This window comes from Homo sapiens, chromosome 5 (genome assembly GCF_000001405.40).
Source record: "Homo sapiens chromosome 5, GRCh38.p14 Primary Assembly".
Taxonomy (NCBI): Eukaryota; Metazoa; Chordata; class Mammalia; order Primates; family Hominidae; genus Homo; species Homo sapiens.
Genome location: NC_000005.10, coordinates 102,659,083 through 102,684,636, shown reverse-complemented (window position 1 = coordinate 102,684,636; position 25,554 = coordinate 102,659,083). Strand labels below are relative to the sequence as shown.

General features: G+C 38.9%; 2 long non-coding RNA genes across 7 annotated transcripts in view, besides 3 other annotated features; one reads left to right on the top strand and one right to left on the bottom strand.

Annotated features, from left to right (window-relative positions):
* Positions 1 to 20,490, bottom strand: part of LOC105379104 (uncharacterized) — a 62,441-nt gene extending 41,951 nt beyond the window's left edge. For 2 of the 3 annotated variants that reach the window (XR_948631.4, XR_948632.4), the window contains exons 1-2: positions 19,983 to 20,490; positions 18,161 to 18,812 (exon numbers count right to left, since the gene is read on the bottom strand). This is a non-coding gene — a long non-coding RNA (uncharacterized LOC105379104). Of the gene's footprint in view, positions 1 to 14,096; positions 14,439 to 15,030; positions 15,173 to 18,160; positions 18,813 to 19,982 lie in introns of those variants that run through there. The other variant, XR_948630.4, reaches the window with a different exon arrangement.
* The window catches only part of LINC00491 (long intergenic non-protein coding RNA 491), a 62,973-nt gene continuing 50,591 nt past the window's right edge, over positions 13,173 to 25,554 (top strand). For all 4 annotated transcript variants that reach the window (NR_103756.1, NR_103755.1, NR_103754.1 and 1 more), the window contains exon 1: positions 13,173 to 13,410. This is a non-coding gene — a long non-coding RNA (long intergenic non-protein coding RNA 491). The remainder of the gene's footprint in view (positions 13,411 to 25,554) is intronic.
* Positions 14,197 to 14,296: a silencer, noted in NCBI's record as "silent region_16207". NCBI's record gives its function as "represses an Ori minimal core promoter by ATAC-STARR-seq in GM12878 lymphoblastoid cells {active_cell/tissue: GM12878}" and the evidence as "EXISTENCE:reporter gene assay evidence [ECO:0000049][PMID:35858748]".
* Positions 16,438 to 21,268: an enhancer, noted in NCBI's record as "VISTA enhancer hs1649". NCBI's record gives its function as "enhancer in: neural tube[7/9] | hindbrain (rhombencephalon)[8/9] | midbrain (mesencephalon)[8/9] | forebrain[8/9] | limb[6/9] | nose[7/9] | facial mesenchyme[7/9] | other[9/9]" and the evidence as "EXISTENCE:transgenic organism evidence [ECO:0001131][PMID:17130149]".
* Positions 22,996 to 23,496: an enhancer, noted in NCBI's record as "H3K4me1 hESC enhancer chr5:101996845-101997345 (GRCh37/hg19 assembly coordinates)". NCBI's record gives its function as "activates a minimal SCP1, AML or CMV promoter by ChIP-STARR-seq in naive H9 embryonic stem cells {active_cell/tissue: H9 hESC(naive)}" and the evidence as "EXISTENCE:reporter gene assay evidence [ECO:0000049][PMID:30033119]".

Here is a 25,554-nt window from a genome sequence, read left to right as displayed (position 1 = left end):
AAAAAACTACTTTAAAGTTCATATGGAACCAAAAAAGAGCCCGCATCGCCAAGTCAATCCTAAGCCAAAAGAACAAAGCTGGAGGCATCACACTACCTGACTTCAAACTATACTACAAGGCTACAGTAACCAAAACAGCATGGTACTGGTACCAAAACAGAGATATAGACCAATGGAACAGAACAGAGCCCTCAGAAATAATGCCGCATATCTACAACTATCTGATCTTTGACAAACCTGAGAAAAACAAGCAATTGGGAAAGGATTCCCTATTTAATAAATGGTGCTGGGAAAACTGGCTAGCCATATGTAGAAAGCTGAAACTGGATCCCTTCCTTACACCTTATACAAAAATTAATTCAAGATGGATTAAAGACTTACATGTTAGACCTAAAACCATAAAAACCCCAGAAGAAAACCTAGGCAATACCATTCAGGACATAGGCATGGGCAAGGACTTCATGTCTAAAACACCAAAAGCAATGGCAACAAAAGATAAAATTGACAAATGGGATCTAATTAAACTAAAGAGCTTCTGCACAGCAAAAGAAACTACCATCAGAGTGAACAGGCAACCTACAGAGTGGGAGAAAATTTTTGCAACCTACTCATCTGACAAAGGGCTAATATCCAGAATCTACAATGAACTCAAACAAATTTACAAGAAAAAAACAAACAACCCCATCAAAAAGTGGGCGAAGGATATGAACAGACACTTCTCAAAAGAAGACATTTATGCAGCCAAAAAACACATGAAAAAATGCTCACCATCACTGGCCATCAGAGAAATGCAAATCAAAACCACAATGAGATACCATCTCACACCAGTTAGAATGGCAATCATTAAAAAGTGAGGAAACAACAGGTGCTGGAGAGGATGTGGAGAAATAGGAACACTTTTACACTGTTGGTGGGACTGTAAACTAGTTCAACCATTGTGGAAGTCAGTGTGGCGATTCCTCAGGGATCTAGAACTAGAAATACCATTTGACCCAGCCATCCCATTACTGGGTATATACCCAAAGGATTATAAATCATGCTGCTATAAAGACACATGCACAGGTATATTTATTGCGGCACTATTCACAATAGCAAAGACTTGGAACCAATCCAAATGTCCAACAATGATAGACTGGATTAAGAAAATGTGGCACATATACACCATGGAATACTATGCAGCCATAAAAAGTGATGAGTTCATGTCCTTTTTAGGGACATGGATGAAGCCGGAAACTATCATTCTCAGCAAACTCTCGCAAGAACAAAAAACCAAACACCGCATGTTCTCACTCATAGTTGGGAATTGAACAATGAGAACACATGGACACAGGAAGGGGAACATCACACAACGGGGACTGTTGTGGGGTGGGGGGAGGGGGGAGGGATAGCATTAGGAGATATACCTAATGCTAAATGACCAGTTAATGGGTGCAGCACATCAACATGGCACATGTATACATATATAACAAATCTGCATGTTGTGCACATGTACCCTAAAACTTTAAGTATAATAATAATAATAATAAATCAATCACGACCCTTTCATGTGAAATCTTTAGTGTTGTGAGCCCTTAAAAGGGACAGAAATTGTGCACTCGGGGAGCTCGGATTTTAAGGCAGTAGCTTACTGATGTTCCCAGCTGAATAAAGCCCTTCCTTCTACCAAAAAAAAAAAAAAAAGAAAAAAGAAATCAGAAAAGGTAGCATATTTGTATTATTCAGGGTTCTCCAGAGAAACAAATAATGGGATAGGTACGTAGATATACAAACAGATAGACAAAGATTTATTACGAGGAATTGGCTCACACAAGTATGGAGGCTAAGTTCCAGAATCTGCTGTCTTGTCTGTAAGCTGGAGGACAAGAAAGCCAGTGGTATAGGTCTGGTCCAAAACCAGAGGCCTCAGAACCAGGTGAGCCAATGGCATAAGTCCCAGTTTGAGTTTGAAGATCCAAAAACCAGGCGCACTGATGTCTGAGGGCAGGAGAAAATGAATGTCCCAGTTTAAGGAGAGAGAGCACATTTGCCTTTCCTCTGCCAATTTGTTAATTCTCATTCTCAACAGATTAGATTGGATGGTGCCCACCTGCGTTAGAAGAAGTTGATTCTTCTAACATGATCAACATTTGGACTTTGCTCAGTGGAGAAAGAGCAAGGAGTGTTCTATTCCATACTTAGGTCTGAGTCAGAGCTGTACATACATCCTACAGAAAATAAGCTCTGAGCTCCTTTTCGTTATCACTCTCTGTAAAACATTCTGCACAGAAACATTCTAAAATTTGCTCTATAAATTGGGAAGGCTGGAAGTTCTTTACTTTGTGGCTGAAGTGAGGAAATCAATCTATCAGCCCATATATTTTTGACTAATCAGCAAAATATTTACTGTCTTTTCCTATATTTATCAAATGCATAGTAACTCTAAAGGCATGTCAATGTAATATCTAGTAAGGAATTAAACAAACAGTTCCAATTTTCTTATGCTCAAGATCTTTTAGAACTAGGTTTAATTGCTTTCAGGACCTAGCTCTCTGGGCACATTCTGATAGGCAAGACTAGTCTACTTTTGGACCAAAGTATTTTTCTGCAATTATGGAATACTGAAAATTCTTCTCTTTTCTGGGGAGAAAAACAGTCAACCTACCCTTTATTATAGGCCAATGTACTCTTTAAGATGTTGTGGAGCTACTTTCCATGCAGGCTTAAAGGAATTGAGTAGAAGAAAAAGAAAAAGCACTTAGTTTTAACTATGAGAAATCAGGACAGAAGAATTCTAAACATTATGGATGATTTTGTCAGATTTAGTAGAATTAAGAGATGCTGACACATACGATTTCTAGAAGCATAAACATCTCAGTTCCACTCCATGCTTTCCATTGGCGTGAATGAAATTTTGATCTGTGTATTCTCACTATCTCCTCCTACTAGTGCCTTATCTGATGTATGGATTTCTTTTTCTGCATATCTGATGTTGCCATGCCTCCTAGACACTTCCTAGCTAACCTGGCAAGCCTCCCTCAAGTGTCACTGAGGGATCTGGTGTGCCTTGCTGCCCCCTATTGGTGGCCAAAAACTGTTAAGCTAGGGGCTCCAATGCAATCTTAGACTTTGTTGATTAATGCCAGCATCTGAGAGGCACTGCTTACAGGAGCTTTACTATAAAGTTGTTTTTAAGCAAAGCAACTATTATGTAGTGATTTTTATTACTTTAAAATTAGTGGTTTTGTTTTTAAAATATTTATTTTGACTTCGTTTTTCATTCTAAATTTATAAGGAATTTATTTAGTTCTTTTTATGGTCTTTTTCTAAGATTGCCACTACATTGCCGAAAGTGCAAGGCAAAAGTTTCCACTAGAATTGTGCAAATGTTTTATTTCTTTGCACTATTAAAACAAAAAATGGACTTCTTATGGCTGTGAACACAGTTCGTTCTCTAAATTGAAAACATGTCTATTGGATTTGCATATTGCTTCCTTGAATCAGGCGTTTTTTTTTTTAAGATTTTAGTGATGTATTAGTAGGCTTAGGCTACCATAACAAAATATCATAGACTAGAGTCTAAGTAGCTTAAAAAACAGAAATTTATTTTCTGACAGTTCTGAAGGCTAAAAGTTCCCACATCAAGGATCAACAGGGTCTGTTTCTGGTGAGGGTTCTCTTTCTGACTTGCAGATGGCCACCTTCGCGCATATGGTGAAGAGGAAGTGCTCCAGTGTTTTTTCCGTTTATAAGGACATCAGTCCTATCAGATAAGGGTCTCACCCTTACAACTTCATTTAACTTTTCCTAGCTCCTCACAGGCCCTGTCTCCGAATGTAGTCACACTGGGGGGTTAGAGTTTCAAAATATGAATTTTGGGGCGACACAATATTGTGTCTCTAACAAATGGTGACATGTGGATTTTAATAATCTAACAAAATTTCAATTAATCAAATTACTTTAAAAAATCATATACCATGAGATAAGAATAAATGGAAATGGGCTTGGTATCAGAATGATAAGGCATGGTCCTCACCGTGTGAACTGACAACACAGCTGAGGAAAAGGTTCTAAAATCAAGACTAACACAAGGGAAAAAAATGAGAATGTAAAGTACTAGCTCATCATACTGTCTTTAATTATAAAAGAAGTTTAAGTGTTGCCCAGAATAACCAGAGAAATGCTTTAAGACGAAATTGTATTTAGCCTCGTTCTAAAGGACGACTAAGGTTTTATTAACTTCAGTGAGGGAGGTATGAGGAAGAATATTTTACCACCAGGAAGGCACTGACTTCAGAATGAAGACAAAATGTGCATTACAGTTTAAGTACCTTAGCCTGACAGTCAGAGAGGACATTTAAATGCCTTCTACAATAAAATATTATCGTTTAATAATCCCTGTATATGCATAGGATGCTGGTTCAGAATATATACATGGTCTCTGTTCTTTGTAAGTTTGCAATCAAAGACCATAAATACTCAAGTCTGACAGTTTGGTGCTTTCAGAATTTGCTTAAATCACCTGATATTTTCCCACTAGGCTATGGACCTGACAAAAGCAGCGGGTTATGTGTCTTGGGCTGAAGCATGACACAAAGAGCCATTGATGTTGGGCTGAAAACAGAAAAAAACTCTTCCTCCCTTTGTTTCTTTGTTGTTGTTGTTGACTGCTTGGTGTGTCCAGAATAATTTTAGAGCATCCAGTGGAACCCCTAGCCATTCCATAGGGTAAGGGGTTAGAAACACCAATTGGTTTGAAAACCTTGATACTTAATACTTTCTGTGGCTTCTCTTTAAATTACTCTCAATAGTTTATTTATTCCTCAAACCATGGGGAAATCAGGTCTGGAAACATCAAGTGATAACACCAAGTGAATGTTAAAGACACACACCGCTCTACCTACCAGCAGCGCCTGTGAGCAGAGTCTATCCCACTGTGGACATATGTCTAGTGTTACCATCTCCAATCATATAAATGCCTTGGTCTGATCAGTAATGTACACCTGTAATTTAAACTGGATTCTCTACCACTATTAGACAAAAAGTTGTTTTCTGAAAAAGCCATTGTGATGTCAATCATATCTCCTTTTGCAGGGTCTGGTCTGGAGAAAAAACTTGTGTGGTTGTTGAAAATTGTCTTTGACTTTGTCCTTATTTTGAGATCATTTTCCTCCCTCTGTGGACTCTCTTCCGGCCCAGGTTACCACATTGCACTTCTCCTGCATGTTCACCTCTGCTCTCCCCCAATTAATCAAAGAAAACTCTCTGTTATCAGTCCTCTAAAAGCTGGTGTGAATTTAAGTCATGGTGTTATCTCTCTACAGGGAATTTATATTTTTAGTTTATCTATAATTATAGAATAAATGCCTTTATTCTTGGTAAAAGAAGCTTCAGGCATGAGCAGAGCAAACAGAAATGCTTTTAAAGTCAGGGGGACTTTCTGTTGCTGTTGAAATTACACAGAAGAGATAGCAGTCAACTTTATTGGAAAGATTGGTATCCAAATTGTAAAAGTACCTCAGACTTAGGGGTTTATGTAAAATGCAAGGTCAAAATTACAATTAAAGGCATATTACTAAAGTATTTTGGAGATAAGGAAAGTGAAATTGACATTTACTGGGCGTCCATATATGCCATGCAATGGTTCAGGTCTCCCCTCATCTCTTTAGCTCATTTTACAGTTGCCAGTAATTCTGTGAACCCTTCACCCCACTTTACCAGTAAGGAAATGAAGTTCTGGAGGTTAAGTTTCACAAAGATCCCACAGTTAGCAAATGATGGAGCCATGTCTCTGTGGCTTCAAAGTCCATTATCTTGGCACGGTGGAGAGAAAAGTTGTCAAAGTCCATGACATTTGAACATATGATTTTGTTTGTGCTATTAAAAGTTTGCTTTGGACATTTTGAATTAAACTCCTTTAATCATGAGGTGGCATGTAACTTTGCACCGCATTACCTTGCTGGTTTTTAGTATGCAGAACCAAGATGAATTGCCTTCAGAAAAAAATTTCAATTCATTTCTGTAATCAAAAACTGTCAATATAAAAGGATGGTGAGGTTATATTGTGGAAAGTTACAAGATTATTGACAAACTACCTCATACCTAGTTGGCATATGTTACTCTCCAACTAACTTCTGGATATTAATGTTTCTGCAACGATTGAAAGTAAGCCAGCCAAAGTCAAGCCACACAATCATATGAGGTGAGTAATCATATATCCTGAGCCAAAAATGTGTATGCATCAGTGAACTGACTACTTGAAATTATGGCTAGTCTTTTAAGAATTAAAGAGGCTAATGTTGTATTTTCTATAAATTAGATTTTCCTGTAGGTCTACTTGGGAATGTATTTTAATCTTTTGCTGAATGAATCTGCTCACTTTTTCATTTTATTGAAAACTAAAGAGGAAATTAGGTGATAAATAGAAACTGTTACTTTTCTATCAATTTGCAGTGTACAAACTGAGTTAGTGACTTATTTGCCAACCTCATTTTCTAAGAAAATACATAGACCATCTTGGAATTCTCAAAAGTAAAAATGCCTGAGAACTATAGTGAAGGGAATCAAAACCAATTCTTGTTCAGGTCAACAAACACACCCACTTGTAAAAATTGAGCCATCTTTATGAACCAAAACCAATTTGAAACCTCATTTTTGTGCTATGAAGACCATTTTGTATAATATTTTCAAAAAAATTTAAAATATAAAGTGATTTTTTCTCCTAAATCATTAAGTTACACTAAATCAATGTGAATAATAGTAATAAATCTTACTAATTTAAAAATGTATCTTCTGTAGCTATCTATTTTAGAGTGGACTGTATTTTATCAGATAAAAACGTTAACCTACAAACACAATATAAAATATATTGTTAACTGTAAATTATTCAATCTAATATGAAGATTATACACTCTTTTTGGTTTGCTTATTTTCCCTCTGGTTATCTGCCTTTAGGTAATCCCCTTTGCTTATAATTATCGTGAACAGTGATTGGATAGGAAAATGAAAGGTTACAGAAATTTACTCAGAGCTTAATCTGTCTTTGTATATGATGGCAGTGGGGAAACAATTTGTAACAAGTATGTAATGTGATAGTTGGGTTTTTAAGGGTTCTATCTTAGTCCATTTGAGCTGCTATAACAAATTACCACAGACTAGGGTAGTTTATAAACAAAGAAATTCATTACTCATTGTTGTGGATGCTGAGATGTCCAAACTGAAGGTGTTTGCAGATTCACTGTCTGGTGAGGGAGAGCTTTCTGGTCCACAGATGGTGCCTTCTCACTGTGTCCTCACATGGTGAAAGGGGCAAGGGATCTCTCTGGGCTTTCTTTTTATAAGGACAATAATTCGCTAAATCCCCACCTTCTAATACCCATCACATTGGGGGTTAGAATTTCTTTTTTTTTTTTTATTATACTTTAAGTTTTAGGGTACATGTGCACTTTGTGCAGGTTAGTTACATATGTATACATGTGCCATGCTGGTGCACTGCACCCACTAACTCGTCATCTAGCATTAGGTATATCTCCCAATGCTATCCCTCCCCCATCCCCCCACCCCACAACAGTCCCCAGAGTGTGATATTCCCCTTCCTGTGTCCATGTGATCTCATTGTTCAATTCCCACCTATGAGTGAGAATATGCGGTGTTTGGTTTTTTGTTCTTGCGATAGTTTACTGAGAATGATGTTTTCCAGTTTCATCCATGTCCCTACAAAGGACATGAACTCATCATTTTTTATGGCTGCATAGTATTCCATGGTGTATATGTATATGTGCCACATTTTCTTAATCCAGTCTATCATTGTTGGACATTTGGGTTGGTTCCAAGTCTTTGCTATTGTGAATAATGCCACAATAAACATACGTGTGCATGTGTCTTTCTAGCAGCATGATTTATAGTCCTTTGGGTATATACCCAGTAATGGGATGGCTGGGTCAAATGGTATTTCCAGTTCTAGATCCCTGAGGAATCGCCACACTGACTTCCACAATGGTTGAACTAGTTTACAGTCCCACCAACAGTGTAAAAGTGTTCCTATTTCTCCACATCCTCTCCCGCACCTGTTGTTTCCTGACTTTTTAATGATTGCCCTTCTAACTGGTGTGAGATGGTATCTCATAGTGGTTTTGATTTGCATTTCTCTGATGGCCAGTGATGATGAGCATTTTTTCATGTGTTTTTTGGCTGCATAAATGTCTTCTTTTGAGAAGTGTCTCTTCATGTCCTTCGTCCACTTTTTGATGGGGTTGTTTGTTTTTTTCTTGTAAATTTGTTGGAGTTCATTGTAGATTCTGGATATTAGCCCTTTGTCAGATGAGTAGGTTGCAAAAATTTTCTCCCATTTTGTAGGTTGCCTGTTCACTCTGATGGTAGTTTCTTTTGCTGTGCAGAAGCTCTTTAGTTTAATTAGATCCCATTTGTCAATTTTGTCTTTTGTTGCCATTGCTTTTGGTGTTTTAGACATGAAGTCCTTTCCCATGCCTATGTCCTGAATGATATTGCCTAGGTTTTCTTCTAGGGTTATTATGGTTTTAGGTCTAATGTTTAAGTATTTAATCCATCTTGAATTGATTTTTGTATAAGGTGTAAGGAAGGGATCCAGTTTCAGCTTTCTACATATGGCTAGCCAGTTTTCCCAGCACCATTTATTAAATAGGGAATCCTTTCCCCATTGCTTGTTTTTCTCAGGTTGGTCAAAGATCAGATAGTTGTAGATATGCGGCGTTATTTCTGAGGGCTCTGTTCTGTTCCATTGATCTATACCTCTGTTTTGGTACCAGTACCATGCTGTTTTGGTTACTGTAGCCTTGTAGTATAGTTTGAAGTCAGGTAGTGTGATGCCTCCAGCTTTGTTCTTTTGGCTTAGGATTGACTTGGCGATGCGGGCTCTTTTTTGGTTCCATATGAACTTTAAAGTAGTTTTTTCCAATTCTGTGAAGAAAGTCATTGGTAGCTTGATGGGGATGGCATTGAATCTGTAAATTACCTTGGGCAGTATGGCCATTTTCACGATATTGATTCTTCCTACCCATGAGCATGGAATGTTCTTCCATTTGTTTGTATCCTCTTTTATTTCCTTGAGCAGTGGTTTGTAGTTCTCCTTGAAGAGGTCCTTCACATCCCTTGTAAGTTGGATTCCTAGGTATTTTATTCTCTTTGAAGCAATTGTGAATGGGAGTTCACTCCTGATTTGGCTCTCTGTTTGTCTGTTGCTGGTGTATAAGAATGCTTGTGATTTTTGTACATTGATTTTGTAACCTGAGACTTTGCTGAAGTTGCTTATCAGATTAAGGAGATTTTGGGCTGAGACAATGGGGTTTTCTAGATATACAATCATGTCATCTGCAAACAGGGACAATTTGACTTCCTCTTTTCCTAATTGAATACCCTTTATTTCCTTCTCCTGCCTAACTGCCCTGGCCAGAACTTCCAACACTATGTTGAATAGGAGTGGTGAGAGAGGGCATCCCTGTCTTGTGCCAGTTTTCAAAGGGAATGCTTCCAGTTTTTGCCCATTCAGTATGATATTGGCTGTGGGTTTGTCATAGATAGCTCTTATTATTTAGAAATACATCCCATCAATACCTAATTTATTGAGAGTTTTTAGCATGAAGGGTTGTTGAATTTTCTCAAAGGCTTTTTCTGCATCTATTGAGATAATCATGTGGTTTTTGTCTTTGGCTCTGTTTATATGCTGGATTACATTTATTGATTTGCGTATATTGAACCAGCCTTGCATCCCAGGGATGAAGCCCACTTGATCATGGTGGATAAGCTTTTTGATGTGTTGCTGGATTCGTTTTGCCAGTATTTTATTGAGGATTTTTGCATCAATGTTCATCAAGGATATTGGTCTAAAATTCTCTTTTTTTGTTGTGTCTCCGCCTGGCTTTGGTATCAGAATGATGCTGGCCTCATAAAATGAGTTAGGGAGGATTCCCTCTTTTTCTATTGATTGGAATAGTTTCAGAAGGAATGGTACCAGTTCCTCCTTGTACCTCTGGTAGAATTCAGCTGTGAATCCATCTGGTCCTGGACTCTTTTTTGTTGGTAAGCTATTGATTATTGCCACAATTTCAGATCCTGTTATTGGTCTATTCAGAGATTCAACTTCTTCCCGGTTTTGTCTTCGGAGAGTGTATGTGTCGAGGAATTTATCCATTTCTTCTAGATTTTCTAGTTTATTTGCGTAGAGGTGTTTGTAGTACTCTCTGATGGTAGTTTGTATTTCTGTGGGATCGGTGGTGATATCCCCTTTATCATTTTTTATTGTGTCTATTAGATTCTTCTCTCTTTTTTTCTTTATTAGTCTTGCTAGCGGTCTATCAATTTTGTTGATCCTTTCAAAAAACCAGCTCCTGGATTCACTAATTTTTTGAAGGGTTTTTTGTGTCTCTATTTCCTTCAGTTCTGCTCTGATTTTAGTTATTTCTTGCCTTCTGCTAGCTTTTGAATGTGTTTGCTCTTGCTTTTCTAGTTCTTTTAATTGTGATGTTTGGGTGTCAATTTTGGATCTTTCCTGCTTTCTCTTGTGGGCATTTAGTGCTATAAATTTCCCTCTACACACTGCTTTGAATGCGTCCCAGAGATTCTGGTATGTTGTGTCTTTGTTCTCGTTGGTTTCAAAGAACGTCTTTATTTCTGCCTTCATTTCGTTATGTACCCAGTAGTCATTCAGGAGCAGGTTGTTCGGTTTCCATGTAGTTGAGCGGTTTTGAGTGAGATTCTTAATCCTGAGTTCTAGTTTGATTGCACTGTGGTCTGAGAGATAGTTTGTTATAATCTCTGTTCCTTTACATTTGCTGAGGAGAGCTTTACTTCCAAGTATGTGGTCAATTTTGGAATAGGTGTGGTGTGGTGCTGAAAAAAATGTATATTCTGTTGATTTGGGGTGGAGAGTTCTGTAGATGTCTATTAGGTCCGCTTGGTGCAGAGCTGAGTTCAATTCCTGGGTATCCTTGTTGACTTTCTGTCTCGTTGATCCGTCTAATGTTGACAGTGGGGTGTTAAAGTCTCCCATTATTAATGTGTGGGAGTCTAAGTCTCTTTGTATGTCACTCAGGACTTGCTTTATGAATCTTGGTTCTCCTGTATTGGGTGCATATATATTTAGTATAGTTAGCTCTTCTTGTTGAATTGATCCCTTTACCATTATGCAATGGCCTTCTTTGTCTCTTTTGATCTTTGTTGGTTTAAAGTGTGTTTTATCAGAGACTAGTATTGCAACCCCTGCCTTTTTTTGTTTTCCATTTGCTTGGTAGATCTTCCTCCATCCTTTTATTTTGAGCCTATGTGTGTCTCTGCACGTGATATGGGTTTCCTGAATACAGCACACTGATGGGTCTTGACTCTTTATCCAATTTGCCAGTCTGTGTCTTTTAATTGGAGCATTTAGTCCATTTACATTTAAAGTTAATATTGTTATGTGTGAATTTGATCCTGTCATTATGATGTTAGCTGGTGATTTTGCTCGTTAGTTGATGCAGTTTCTTCCTAGTCTTGATGGTCTTTACATTTTGGCATGATTTTGCAGTGGCTGGTACCAGTTGTTCCTTTCCATGTTTAGTGCTTCCTTCAGGAGCTCTTTTAGGGCAGGCCTGGTGGTGACAAAATCTCTCAGCATTTGCTTGTCTGTAAAGGATTGTATTTTTCCTTCGCTTATGAAGCTTAGTTTGGCTGGATATGAAATTCTGGGTTGAAAATTCTTGTCTTTAAGAATGTTGAATATTGGCCCTCACTCTCTTCTGGCTTGTAGGGTTTCTGCCGAGAGAACCGCTGTTAGTCTGATGCACTTCCCTTTGAGGGTAACCCGACCTTTCTCTCTGGCTGCCCTTAACATTTTTTCCTTCATTTCAACTTTGGTGAATCTGACAATTATGTGTCTTGGAGTTGCTCTTCTCAAGGAGTAACTTTGTGGCGTTCTCTGTATTTCCTGAATCTGAACGTTGGCCTGCCTTGCTAGATTGGGGAAGTTCTCCTGGATAATATCCTGCAGAGTGTTTTCCAACTTGGTTCCATTCTCCCCATCACTTTCAGGTACACCAATCAGACGTAGATTTGGTCTTTTCACATAGTCCCATATTTCTTGGAGGCTTTGCTCATTTCTTTTATTCTTTTTTCTCTAAACTTCCCTTCTCTCTTCATTTCATTCATTTCATCTTCCATCGCTGATACCCTTTCTTCCAGTTGATCGCATCGGCTCCTGAGGCTTCTGCATTCTTCACGTAGTTCTCAAGCCTTGGTTTTCAGCTCCATCAGCTCCTTTAAGCACTTCTCTGTATTGGTTATTCTAGTTGTACATTCTTCTAAATTTTTTTCAAAGTTTTCAACTTCTTTGCCTTTGGTTTGAATGTCCTCCCGTAGCTCAGAGTAATTTGATCGTCTGAAGCCTTCTTCTCTCAGCTCGTCAAAGTCATTCTCCATCCAGCTTTGTTCCGTTGCTGGTGAGGAACTGCGTTCCTTTGGAGGAGGAGAGGCGCTCTGCTTTCTAGAGTTTCCAGTTTTTCTGTTCTGTTTTTTCCCCATCTTTGTGGTTTTATCTACTTTTGGTCTTTGATGATGGTGATGTACAAATGGGTTTTTGGTGTGGATGTCCTTTCTGTTTGTTAATTTTCCTTCTAACAGACATGACCCTCAGCTGCAGGTCTGTTGGAATACCCTGCCGTGTGAGGTGTCAGTGTGCCCCTGCTGGGGGGTGCCTCCCAGTTAGGCTGCTCAGGGGTCAGGGGTCAGGGACCCACTTGAGGAGGCAGTCTGCAGGTTCTCAGATCTCCAGCTGCGTGCTGGGAGAACCACTGCTCTCTTCAAAGCTGTCAGACAGGGACATTTAAGTCTGTAGAGGTTACTGCTTTTTGTTTGTCTGTGCCCTGCCCCCAGAGGTGGAGCCTACAGAGGCAGGCAGGCCTCCTTGAGCTGTGGTGGGCTCCACCCAGTTGGAGCTTCCCTGCTGCTTTGTTTACCTAAGCAAGCCTGGGCAATGGCGGGCGCCCCTCCCCCAGCCTAGCTGCCGCTTGCAGTTTGATCTCAGACTGCTGTGCTAGCAATCAGCGAGACTCCGTGGGTGTAGGACCCTCCGAGCCAGGTGTAGGATATAATCTCGTGGTGCGCCGTTTTTTAAGCCCATCAGAAAAGCGCAGTATTCGGGTGGGAGTGACCCGACTTTCCAGGTGCCGTCCATCACCCCTTTCTTTGACTCGGAAAGGGAACTCCCTGACCCCTTGCGCTTCCCGAGTGAGGCAATGCCTCGCCCTGCTTCGACTCGCGCATGGTGCGCGCACGCACTGACCTGCGCCCACTGTCTGGCACTCCCTAGTGAGATGAACCCGGTACCTCAGATGGAAATGCAGAAATCACCAGTCTTCTGCGTCGCTCACGCTGGGAGCTGTAGACCGGAGCTGTTCCTATTCGGCCATCTTGTCTCCTCCCGTGGTAAGTTTTTTTGGGGGTTAGAATTTCAACTTAAGAGTGTTGGAAAGACACAAACATTCAGACCACAGAAGTTTCATTTGTATTTACAATTTGTATTTTCAATTTGACATAAATAAAAATGAGACTTGCAGAATGCAATTTAGAAAACTCAGCCATGCACGCTACTGTAATAGTTCTATTAAGATGTATTTTTAAATGCTGTGACAAAATATTCCTGCCATCTTTAAAAAATAGGTTTGATGATTTGAAAATGGACAGGTCACTTTAAAGAGATCCTTAGTAGTCTATGGAAAGTAACATTTATAACAACTTGAAACTCAAAGGAAAGGAAACTCGGGGAGAAGCACATTCAATAATTTCCAAGGTAACATGGATGCACACTACGTGTGCGGCTTTCATCTCATTTCTTGCTTCCGTGGCCTTCCAAGGAAGAACACAATGTATTCTTCATTGAAAAAAAATTGCAGAGAAGGCAGTGTAAGAAAGAGGTATTTTGAGAACTAATTGAAGTCTTTGTAAGTCACGTTAATGCCTTTCTGCCAATAACTTATTTGCGGATACAGGAGGATTTTCACCCCTCCTCTCCCTGCCACCCCCATCCCCAAAATATCCCACACCTGGGTTACATTGGTTGAAAAAATAATTGTTCCGGTACTTTTCAAGCATTAAAAACATTGTATGTGAGTGTTTTGTTTTTGTTTTTTGTTTGTTTTGTTTTGTTTTTCTTAGTGCAAGATTAATCAGGCGGTCTCAAGTGTATTTAAAAGTTAGGAATGAGGAGGGCACTGTGATGACCGTCATGGCCAGTAGAGGGCAGGAAACTGGAATGGACGGGGGAGCGGGCCATGTACAAAGCGGGGCTCTGATCTCTCTTGTGTTTTGGTGCAGTTTGTATGGACTAGATGGCTGAGAACTCCAGTAGAGAGGAATAAATCACCACCAGAATCAAAAGAGACTGGAACAGGTGAAAATTAGAAAGCTGTTGTGACAAAGTCCAGGATAAGATGTGAGATTTCTGGGGCAGGTATCTGGTGATGAAACCAAGAAGAGCATGCCGTTAAGAATTTGATCAAGATTGAATAACTTCTGGCAATTTACTTATAAAGTGACTTTTGCAGTCCTGGGTCATGGTACTCTTGCATGTACTACTGAGAAGTCACATTACAAAATAAAAAATAAATTTAAAAAGAAGGAAAAAAGAAATTTAAAAATCTTTGCCAAGTATGTAGGGGAAAAGTTGTATATAACTTTTTTGTCTACTATAAAAGAAGACGACTTTTTTTGTCGTCTACTAGTGAGTTTGGATATTTTTCATACTTTTAAAAACCAATTTTAATTAATTTTATTTTTCTTTCCCCTCAATTAAATACAGTCTTACCTTTAGTGAATATTATTTATGTAATATTATAAACATATATTATACATAAAGTAGTGCACCAAGATTCTGGAGAGGGGGCTGTAGGGAGATTAAAACAAAAGGCCTGGGCTGGGCATGGTGGCTCACGCCTGTAATCCCAGCACTTTGGGAGGCCGAAGCAGGTGAATCACGAGGTCAGGAGTTCGAGACCAGCCTGGTCAACATAGTGAAACCCCATCTCTACTAAAAATACAAAAAATTACCTGGGTGTGGTGGCTGGCTCCTGTAATCCCAGCTACTCAGGAAGCTGAGGCAGAAGAATTGCTTGAACCTGGGAGGCGGTGGTTGCAGTGAACCAAGATCACACTACTGCACTCCAGCCCGGGTGACAGTGTGAGACTCAGTCTAAAAAAAAAAAAAAAAAGAATGTCCACAACAAATTCCTCCTCTGAAATTGATATATTGGCTAGATAGAACAGCAGGTGCAGAATAATGTGAACAGAGAAGGAAGGGAATGGGGGCAGAAAGTGTTAAATGCAGACACACTGCTAAACAAAATCACCAGTAAGTGGAACTTATATACCTCCTTTGAATTCTGTCCCAGTGGTCAGTGTTGGAGAATTGTCTCTGGGTCAGGGGCAGAAGAGAAGGCTAGATGGAAGATCCAAGAAGCCCTCTGAGACTCAGGGAATGCTTTATAACATGTTTACCTGCTGGCTTACTATTTAAAGATGTCAAGGAAATTTCAGGTTTCACTTCTAATGGTATAAAACAGTGTTTTGCCAAGAAGACCCTGTAAAGGTCTTACTTAGGACTCCTGCCTTCACTCAGGAAGTGTGTTTGTGAACACACACTACAGCTAGTGGATAGTCTTAGGGCCACTAGCTGAGAGTCATTTTCGTTTTAGGAAAAGCAAGTTTTGCATTGAATAAAGGAGACATTTTATCCTATATTGTACCCTCCCTCTGGGCTTTGGCAGTGCACCCAGCTTTCAGTAGGGAGAGCCTAATTTGGTTACTTCTCTGCAGTCTTTGATTAATGCACAGGACCATTCATGCCATTCATGATCATGTTAGTGACTTTCTCAAGGGCTCTCAACTGGATAAGTCAGCAGATGGCTGAGAAATACTCACCTGCTGTTTACAGTCAGTACGAAGCTTGTTAATCTGGTTCTTCCAGGAATCTCATGTGAATGAGACTAGCCACTATGCTACTCTACACACAATTTCAAAAATCTGTTTTTTTGCTCAAGGTTCAACTATCAAAATGGTTTGATAGCATAAGTAAAGTATTTTGCAGTTCCCTTTTCTGAGATAAAACCAGTTTGACATCTATAAAAAGACAGAATTACGTTACAGGATTAGAAGTGTTAATGCGGATGTGAAATTTGACACATCTGCTAAAGCATGGAAGTCAATCCACCTATCAATCATTTGCATAGGGGAGAGAACACATTCTTTTCCTGGATGTATCATTTATCACCTGGGTGACCCTGGGTTTTGCAATTACCTATTCAATTACCATTTCCTTAAATCTGTTAAGTTGAGATTAAAAACAGCAAGCAAGCATACTTCACTGAGTTATCTTGAGGATCTAAGAAGACTACATAAATGAAAGAATTTACAAACTATAAAGCCAAACACAGATGTGAAGAGTTATGGCCAAGAAGTGGCATGCATGGATCATCTACTATGTTTCTGACACAGCTTTGGAAGATACAAAATAGATCAAAGGTGTGACCGTTGCCCTCCACGTTTGTATGGTCCGGAAAACTGAGAGCAGCACAAGACAGTATCTGATAAAGGTGTAAGGAGCTGCTGCAAAACAAGTGGCATCAGGGTTTAGAAGAGAAAGAGATGAACAAGGGTTAACACGCAGATTAGCAGCATTATGGAAGTGGTAGGTATTGACTTGCACTTTGAGAAAGGAAAATGGGAGAACGGAGAGGATTGATATCAAAAGAAGCTAAAAAGGGCTTTAAGTTCTAAGTTTATCATTTATCTCCTGTCCTAAAACGTCCTTTTTCTACTATGTTCACTGTCAAACTCCTTATTTATAAGTTAACTTCATCCTTGTCCCTAGGAACTCCTCCCTGACCCTCCCAAATGGAGCTGATCACTGTCTCCCTTAGTGGCTTCTAGCCTGGAATAATACACATTTACATTATTGAAATATCTCATCAACAATGGAGTAATTGGTATCATTTTTGAAGTAAGACAGACCTCGGTTCCAATCTCATTTTGCTGCTACTGGGCCCTTTGACCTTGGGCAAATCCTTTACACTCTTGAGCCTGAGTACCTTCATCTGTTGGTTGTGAATGATAATAACGACATAGGGTTATTATGAGCACTAAATAAGGAATAGTGTCTAAATGAGTCTTGCATGTAGTAAAGAAGTGACTTCAAAAACAACATCCATTGTTAAATTTTATGAATCCCGTTACCCTTGTTAGATAGTGTGGAGCTCTCATTATGCTCTTTTTAGATACTAGCACCTAGCACAGGGGCCAGGTACCTAGAGGGTACCTGATAAATATTTGAACAAATATGAGTATTCAAGATGGAAAAAGGCATTTTAGGACATGGCAGGAGCAAAGATACAGAAATAGAGATAATCTGTGTGAGGGAATAGTTGCAAGGGGTGAGACTAGGAAGGGAGAGGTAATGAGATAATTCTTCTGATCTGATCAGAGGAAAGATTTGTATAGGGGAATAAATTATGCTGGCTGGATTGATGGGGTCCAGGTGGAAGAAGACGAGGCCCAGAGTGTGGATTTGTTGTAGGTAAGAGGGGGAATTTCTTGAGGAAGAAAGACACAATGAAAATGATGAATAAATTGCTTAGGACTTTTGTGGTCCAATAAACAAGTTATTTTTAGAATAATAGATAAATTCCTACCATTATTTATAACTTTAATTTGTTACATTTTTACTTTATTATAAGAGGAACATGTCAATATTTTTCTCTTGATGCCAAGTTTTAAAAGAAAAGCAAAATAGGTATGGCTGTGTGGTAAGGACTCCTATAAATCAGTGAAGATCCGGCCTTCTGAAGAAATTAAAGGGTGTCTTAAATATAATGATTAATGTCTTTAAAATACCCATCAATCTTAGAGGAATGAACAAACCACTATTAGAACCATATGTCGCCCTCATTCTTTGTGTGGAACTTCCATGAAAGTCACTAGGAGTTCAGTGGAATGATGAAGAGAAGCATATGGCACTAGATCTGAACTAAATTAATAACAGTATGAAAACACAGTTAAATAGTGATAATCCCCCTTGTTATCCAGCTTTTTTCTTTTTCAGACAACTCTTGGTGTCTAGTTAAGCACCAGAAAGACACTTGTTAATGGGGAGAGCTGATGTGTGAGGAGAAACCATGTGGCATACCTTTTGAAACAAGCTGAAGAGGCAGTGATTTGGGGCTTCCGTGCTCAGGACTGCCATGGAGTCATTTGGAGATCAAAAAAAAGCCTAAACCTGATTATGCTTTAGGCATTCCATCTGGCTCTGACCCACACTGTTGCCATAGCCACCCATCTCCTAGCAACAATGAACAGGGTTTTCAGGGCTCTAAAGTGACAAAGCATGTGAGCAAATAATATAAATGTAATCACAATCGGCTAATAATCCAAGAGGTTATTCATAGTTAAAGTTTACTGTGAAGAGCTACAAGAATCTGTGGTTTCATGATTGTATCTTTTTCTGTGATGGGTTTTGATAAGAAAATGCCTTGGCTTAAACTGAGGCAGCCTGACAGCTTGTTATTGAACATAAAGACTACAAATATCATTATAGGGAAGATAATAAAAGTTGAACTTCATTTTAAATCATCTAGAAAACATAATCATTATCTTGAATAACCTGACCATCATCATCTAGAACTCTGGGTAGAATGGACTTGGGGTGGAAAAAAACTGGCCTTGAATCTGAGAAGAAGAAATATTCCATCCTAACACATTCAGGCTCAAACAATCCATTAGCAGTCTTTGCAATGAGCAATGAGTCTCAATTGAGGTCACTAATCAGAAGCAGTAAGAAGCTGAAAGAAAGATAAAAGGAAAAGGTTATATGCATCATGCTTGTCCTTGAAGCAAAGCGAAAAACAATGTGGCCGTTTTTAGAGGATCTTTAGTTGTTTATTTCAAAATGTTTGTACCACATTTCAAATTATCTTTATTTAAATATTCTGCCCAGAGATATCCATTGAGATACCAGCCTCATTTTTTAAAATGTCATGGCCTTGAATCCTAATAAACCTTCATTTTTATGCTGACCCATATGCATACAATGAAAACTCAGAAGAGCTTAGACATCCATAGAGATGTTAGTAATGAAGAAATCCATACCAGTTTTCATTTTAAAATGCCATTTTGTGCATTATTTACTAGTTCCATCAGCCATAGCCCATGACCCACCTCTCCTTTAAAAATAGGAGTTTATGTCATGGTTTGAATACTGCATTCCTGATTTTGTATCAGAGCCTGTGCATTTGGTAAATGTCAATGAAAGATGCACACAGTGGGAAGTAGATTCAGGATTGTCACTGAGAGATTGTACTGGAGGGGAAGTAGAGCATTGAAACAATGTTGTCTCCAAGAGGAAATAAATAATCCTCACACTTAGGGAGGGCATTGTAATATGTTTACACATTACATGGAGAGCCGGGTTTAACTGTGCTAACTGTTTTGTGAAAGGAAAATCCTCCTGAAATTAAATAATCAAAGAAGATAGGTGAGTGCTGATTTTGTGAAATAAACAGTGATTGAGGGAAGAAGAAAAACCAGCAGGACTCAGCGTGAAGCAAATTAATTCATGTTGGAGATTTACTCTCCTGAAGAAATTAAATTGCCTACTTCCTAATCAGTATAGTTCTTGGCATGCTGTTGCTTTCTCTTTCTTCCTAAATTTGTTTCATGTTAGAGCCCCTTAATTTTTCACCCTACTATTTTTAAAGTTACAGTTTGAAGCTCCAGTTCTTTGTGTGGTTCTGTGAAGTTTTGCACTCAATCAGTTCATTTACTGCTTATTTGTTTTAGAAAGTCAAAGTTTTTCTAATCATCTTACTTGTCTCTTTCACTTGCTTCTGCTTCAGAGGAGCATATAAGGCAACTCCATTACTGCATCTCTTCTGCATTATACGCATCTAATGGCTCGAGGGATAAGCATGTTTTCATTATACTAATTTGGAATAATTGAAGGAAAACCATACCTTAGTGTCCATGCATGGTGTATGGCTGCTCAAAGTAAACACAGATCGTTTGGTTCTTTCCCTGTTCTCACCCTTGTAGCAAGAAGGGAAAAAAAGCACAAACTGTTGTTCCTCCAGTTAGTTCTGCACACAAAGATGTCAACACACATTAAAACTGAAACCACATTTGAGAAGATACATAGAACTTTGCAAACGCCACTGCTGTTTGTAGAGCTCTGAGCTGGAGAGGGTATCATATGTTTTTCAATCTGTTTTTTACTCTTCTGCTGTCTTAAAATAAACTATGCAATTCTTGTTCTTGGCCTTAGAACATGAGTTATGCTATCAGTCTGTTGTGATTCATTTGCTAAAATATTCCAGTGATGAATGTCTCTTACTTCCTATAATGAATGTTGTGGTGTCACTTTTGCCTGATGGAAGACATTGTGCCTTTTGGAGGGCTGAGAAGTAGGGAAGGGCAGCTATGTGACACAAGCACTGGATGATAATGAAAGCTTGTAAGATCTCACATCAATCCTGTCTCCCTTAAAGGCACAGTTGGCTGATAGGAAAATTCCATTAGCACCACCTGTACACCAAGTTTGATATCAAATGGTGAGGCCAGATTTCCAAGAGTAAGGTATTGGAACATGGCCATGCCTGAGAGATGAAGCCAGTATTACACTTTGCTCTATGACTTATGTAGGTGAAGGTAATCTTTTTGGTGATTAACCTGTCCAGGCAGTCCTCTTCTGTCTCACATATCTGGATTGGACTGGTTTGCAGAAAGGAAAAAGTGTAGTGTTAATACCTTTGGGGCATTAATCATAGCTTCCTATAACCATTAGAAGAAAAAGGGCTATGCTGAATATCTAAACAGCTGAGTTACTGCCAAATATTCAAATTACTAAAGGCAAGGGAGAGACTCTCTTTGGCTCTTAATGAAAATTAAGTCTGTTGTTACTACTGTGGTTTGAAGGTGTTTTAATATGGTAAAAAAATCACTCTCCTGGTATGGGATCATTGATGGCAGCCATCCCTTGAAGAATAAGTGAAACAGGTGACGAAATAAAAAATTAAAAGCAGAAAGGACTTGATTGGTCATCGATATTTGAAATGTCAAGTCCTTCTATCCTTAAAATAATCTGACATTGGAAATATAGCTTGAAATAAGATAAAATAGAATAAAGGTCTCCAAATAAGAGATGAAAATTGTCTAGGACTAGATGTAAGGCTGTTGAGGTAATTATGTCCAGCATCCATGACACACGACTGTTAATGAAACCTGCCCAAATATTGGCTAGAACAAAAGGTAAAAGTTAGAAAAGCCTCAACAATGAATTTAGATAAAGTTAGTAGCTATTACAAGTAAACTCTTACATTTCAGGGCTTAACACAATAGAAATTTACTTTTCCTCCTTGTAACAATCCATTGCAGGTATTTCAGGTAGGCATGAGTTTTTCCTCTACGTAATGGTTCAGAGAGCAAGGCTCCTTCCATGGGGTGACTCTACCATCAGTAAGAGGTCAGTAAGGACCTCAGAGTTTTCTGATTCAGCTAGTGAAAGGAGGTAAAAGATCATGGAGAAGGTGTACCTTATGCCAGTTGTCCCAGAAGTCATACTTACCACTCCTGTTGATATTACATTGACAAGAAGTAACCATACAGCCTCACTGAGATGCAAAAAGGGATGGGAAATATTGCCCAGCAATAATACAATTCTCTGCCAGGGGAGGTTTAAATGTTGGTGGATAGCCAATTGGCAAATGTGTTTCAGGATAGTTAGTCAGGAAAGAAGGTAAAGAGACATGAGCAAATTAGTTAATTCTATAAATCAGAACCATAGTCTTTCCAGAAGAAAGATGATTGTAAGATTAGAATATGGCCATATAATATAGATCTTGGGGAAGAACACTTTGGGTCTCAGATGGAATGGAAAAGTGCTTTATTACAAATTGTGAAGAACAAGGGCAAGGACAATATATGCTAGTTATATAGGCAGAAAAAATAAATTATCTTAGAGGAAAATAAAGTGAGTCAGATTTCTAGAAAAGACTAAGGATTCCATGAGAATTTCCAGCAATGCCAATACAAAATTTTGTAAAGCAAAAGCTGACTAGCTGAGTAAAACATTACCAGAAAGGTTTTGAGGTCAGAGGTTAGGGGAATGCATACATTTATAAAAAGAAGGGCCAGATTGACTGGAGAGGTGGGAGGAGCCACTCAAGGTGTTAGGACAGCAGCTATTTGCAATCCACTAAGATTGTTTCTATAGTTAATCAACTGCATGATCATAATGGTTCATACTAGCTGAATATCACCCATATTCTATCCTAACGGAAGAGAGAATCAGATTCACAAAACTAAATAACTGGCCAAAGGGAGGAGCAATTTTGAGTACAATATTGTAATTGGTTCAATGTGTCTGAATACAAGATGGGGACGTTTGGGGTAAACAGAGAGAAGTTATAAATAAAAACAGAAGGAAATATTTCACTAAATACTCCCCAAGATATTGAAGAAGAAGAATCATAACTTTGATACATCCTTTATAGAAGGCAAAACCAAAAGGAGGCCATTTAGCCCCAATTTTGTTTTGATATATCTTGGAAGCATCATTTTAGGTTCCAGTAGGAGGTTGTTTTGGGAGTTGGTTTCATTCAATGGCAGATCCAGGTTTTGTGTGGCCTAAAACTTAATTTGGCAGGACCCTCTAAAAGAAAAAGAATATAACATTACAAGTAGAAAATTAAATCTGAAAACAAATATTTATTTAGAATGATAAAAGAAATTACAACAAACTACAATAAAAACAGCTAATGAATATCACAAATATTTTCTTTTCGTTTATGTTTTTGACTTCTATCAGGTTACTTTATTTCTGATGGATTTGAATTTTGGAATGCTCAATAATTTTGAGAAAAAAATAAAAGTAATTTGAAGCTAAAAAATACAAAAGAGGGGAAAAACATATTTTAGAATTGTTCATTACATACAACGTAATGGGCTACCTAAGTACATAACATTGAAACGGGAAAAGTTCCCTTATCCCCCTCACAGAGTGTGCGATGGGGCTGTGGCTTGCTTCTTCGGTGCCCCGCTGCTCAAACTTCTAGCGGGGCATGTGCAGAAGAGCAGGTGGTGGGGATCTGACCGTACAGCAGTGTCTGAGGTTGAGTGTTTACAGCTCCTGAGGCCCCAGTGGGTGTGTGTTACAGTGTGCTTTTTCAGTTTAGCTGTCTGTAGGTGGCTTGTGTTTGTCAGCTCAATTAGACCCTCTGCCTTACCACAAGGACAGAGGGCTTTACATATCCTGGGTTCTTGCCTTAGTGTACTGGAAAAATCAGATCACACATGGGCTTGGAGAGTGAGTACAAGGGTTTTTATTGAGTGGTAGTAGCTCTTGGCGAGGTGGATGGGGAGGCCAGAAGCGGGATGGAGTGGGAAGGTGGCTTTCCCCTGGAGTCAGGCCACCCAGCAGCCACGTTCTCCTCTGACCATCCCGAGCCAAATTCTGTATCATTCCGCTGGTCAGTGGCCTCCTGGCATCTGCCGGTGCCTGTCAGTGTGCTCTTTCACTGGTGTGTTCCTCTCGATGTCCAGCTGCTTGTGACTCTGCCTGCTAGGGTCTCAGGGGTTTTATAGGCACAGAATGGGGACGTGGCAGGCCAGGGTGGTCTTGGAAAATGCAACATTTGAGCACGAAAACAGAAATGCCTGTCCTCACCTAAGTCCGTGGGTACAGGCCCGGGGGTGGAGTCCTAGCCAAGGACCCGCCCTTCTCTACCCAGCACTTCCCTGCCCCCCTCCCATATCAACATGTATTGAACAAATTATGTGTAGGAAATTGGTCATAGAAACACTTGTCTCTTCAGGGTGTTTTTGTTGTATTAGTAGCGGTTTTTCTTGTCATTTCATCTGGAACCTCTGGTTTTCATCAGGACAGTGCATCGTGGAGGATTTGACCTAATACATTGGAATTTATAAAAACCTATTACTTCACATACAGTTATATGTATTTTTTGTAGTACTGCTTCAAGTTTGCACCTTAAAAATACAGAGATTTTCATGAATTCTTTTTTGCCCTAGTCCATAAAAATGTTCATTTATAATTGTATATGCTGTATTATTGAGTATGTTTATGACAGAACACTTCAGCTTTGATTAGTCATTGATGAGAATTAGTTCTTCTTATTACAATTCTACATGTCTGATAATTAGAAATTTTTCCATTGACTAGTTTCTAGCTCTGAATTTTCAAACCTAATTTCTCCACTACTCTTATACTTAAACCAAAATAAAACCTTTGGATTTGTACTTTCCTGCAGATGAACCATCATTCTGTCATTCCTGGCAGCCATTCCTGCACCAGGATCATTAGCAATGCACAAAAACATATGTATATACAGAAGTCTCTGGAAGCCACAGTAAACCCATGTTAAGTGAATTTACATCTCAACTTTTCCTCAGCTGGATCTCAAAATGCCCATAGCCGCTTCCGTATCACCAAATACATAGGAAAGTATGATGGAGAGGAAGTTGGAGTGGAAAGGGATGATAGTCTTAATTGTTTGCAGTTAAAATAAATTAATTTGAAAATTTGCAAATCATCACATGAACATCTCCCTGAGACCTCCCAGGGTCAAGAAAGTAAAGGGCCCTGAAGATTAAGCTTCACAAAAATCTTCCTATTTTTCCACAGCAGGAATAACTTAGACTGCTAGGCTCTTGATGGAGTAGCCCAAGTTTACTGTTGTATCTGGAACATCCCAATTTTCTCAGGTCACAAGAAATGTGAACAGCTGGAGGTGAACAAATCCTTTTATAGTTATAGCTAAAATGGGATAAAATGGCCCATCCAAAGCTCAGTTCCTGACACTGCACAAAACTCTCCTTTGGGAAACAGTGAGGGATATTGGGAAGCAGATTAGAACAGCGAGAAACTAAACAGGGGAGGCAGAATCCTGGAACCACTACTTTGTTGCTGTATAACCTTGGACCTCAGTTTCCTTATCTGTAAAATAAGATGATAACACTACTGACATCATAGGGTTGATGTGAGAATTTTAAAAAAGGCTGCATGTTAAGTGTTTAACATTGTCACTGGTACATGCTAGGCATTCAATAAGTATTAATTAAATATAAATAGAAGGAAAGAGTTCAGGACAATGTTCTGTTCACATTGCCACATTAATTGTGTAATAACCAGCCAATGTTGTGACTGAATTTTTCAACATTTGACGAAAGTACTCCTTTAATGGAAGTAATTCTGGGTCATAAAGATAAAAATTTGTGTTATGCTCAATAATAGTATCTTATCACCAAAACCTTGCACAATTATATTGCCCATGCCTTGTTATTAAAGGCTACCAGCAGTGATAGGGTGAGTGTGCTGATATGAAATTATGTTGCTGCCATGAACAAGACTAGAATAATTTTCTAACCTTAAATCTTGGTCAAATTTGCATCACAAATGAATTTAGCATTCAGTTGCGTCACAGAGACCTGCTTCCTTTTAACACCTGCTGGTCCCTATGTTGGGGACAGCACCACTTTGAGGCTTTTAGCTTCCTAATTCAGACACCGCATTTA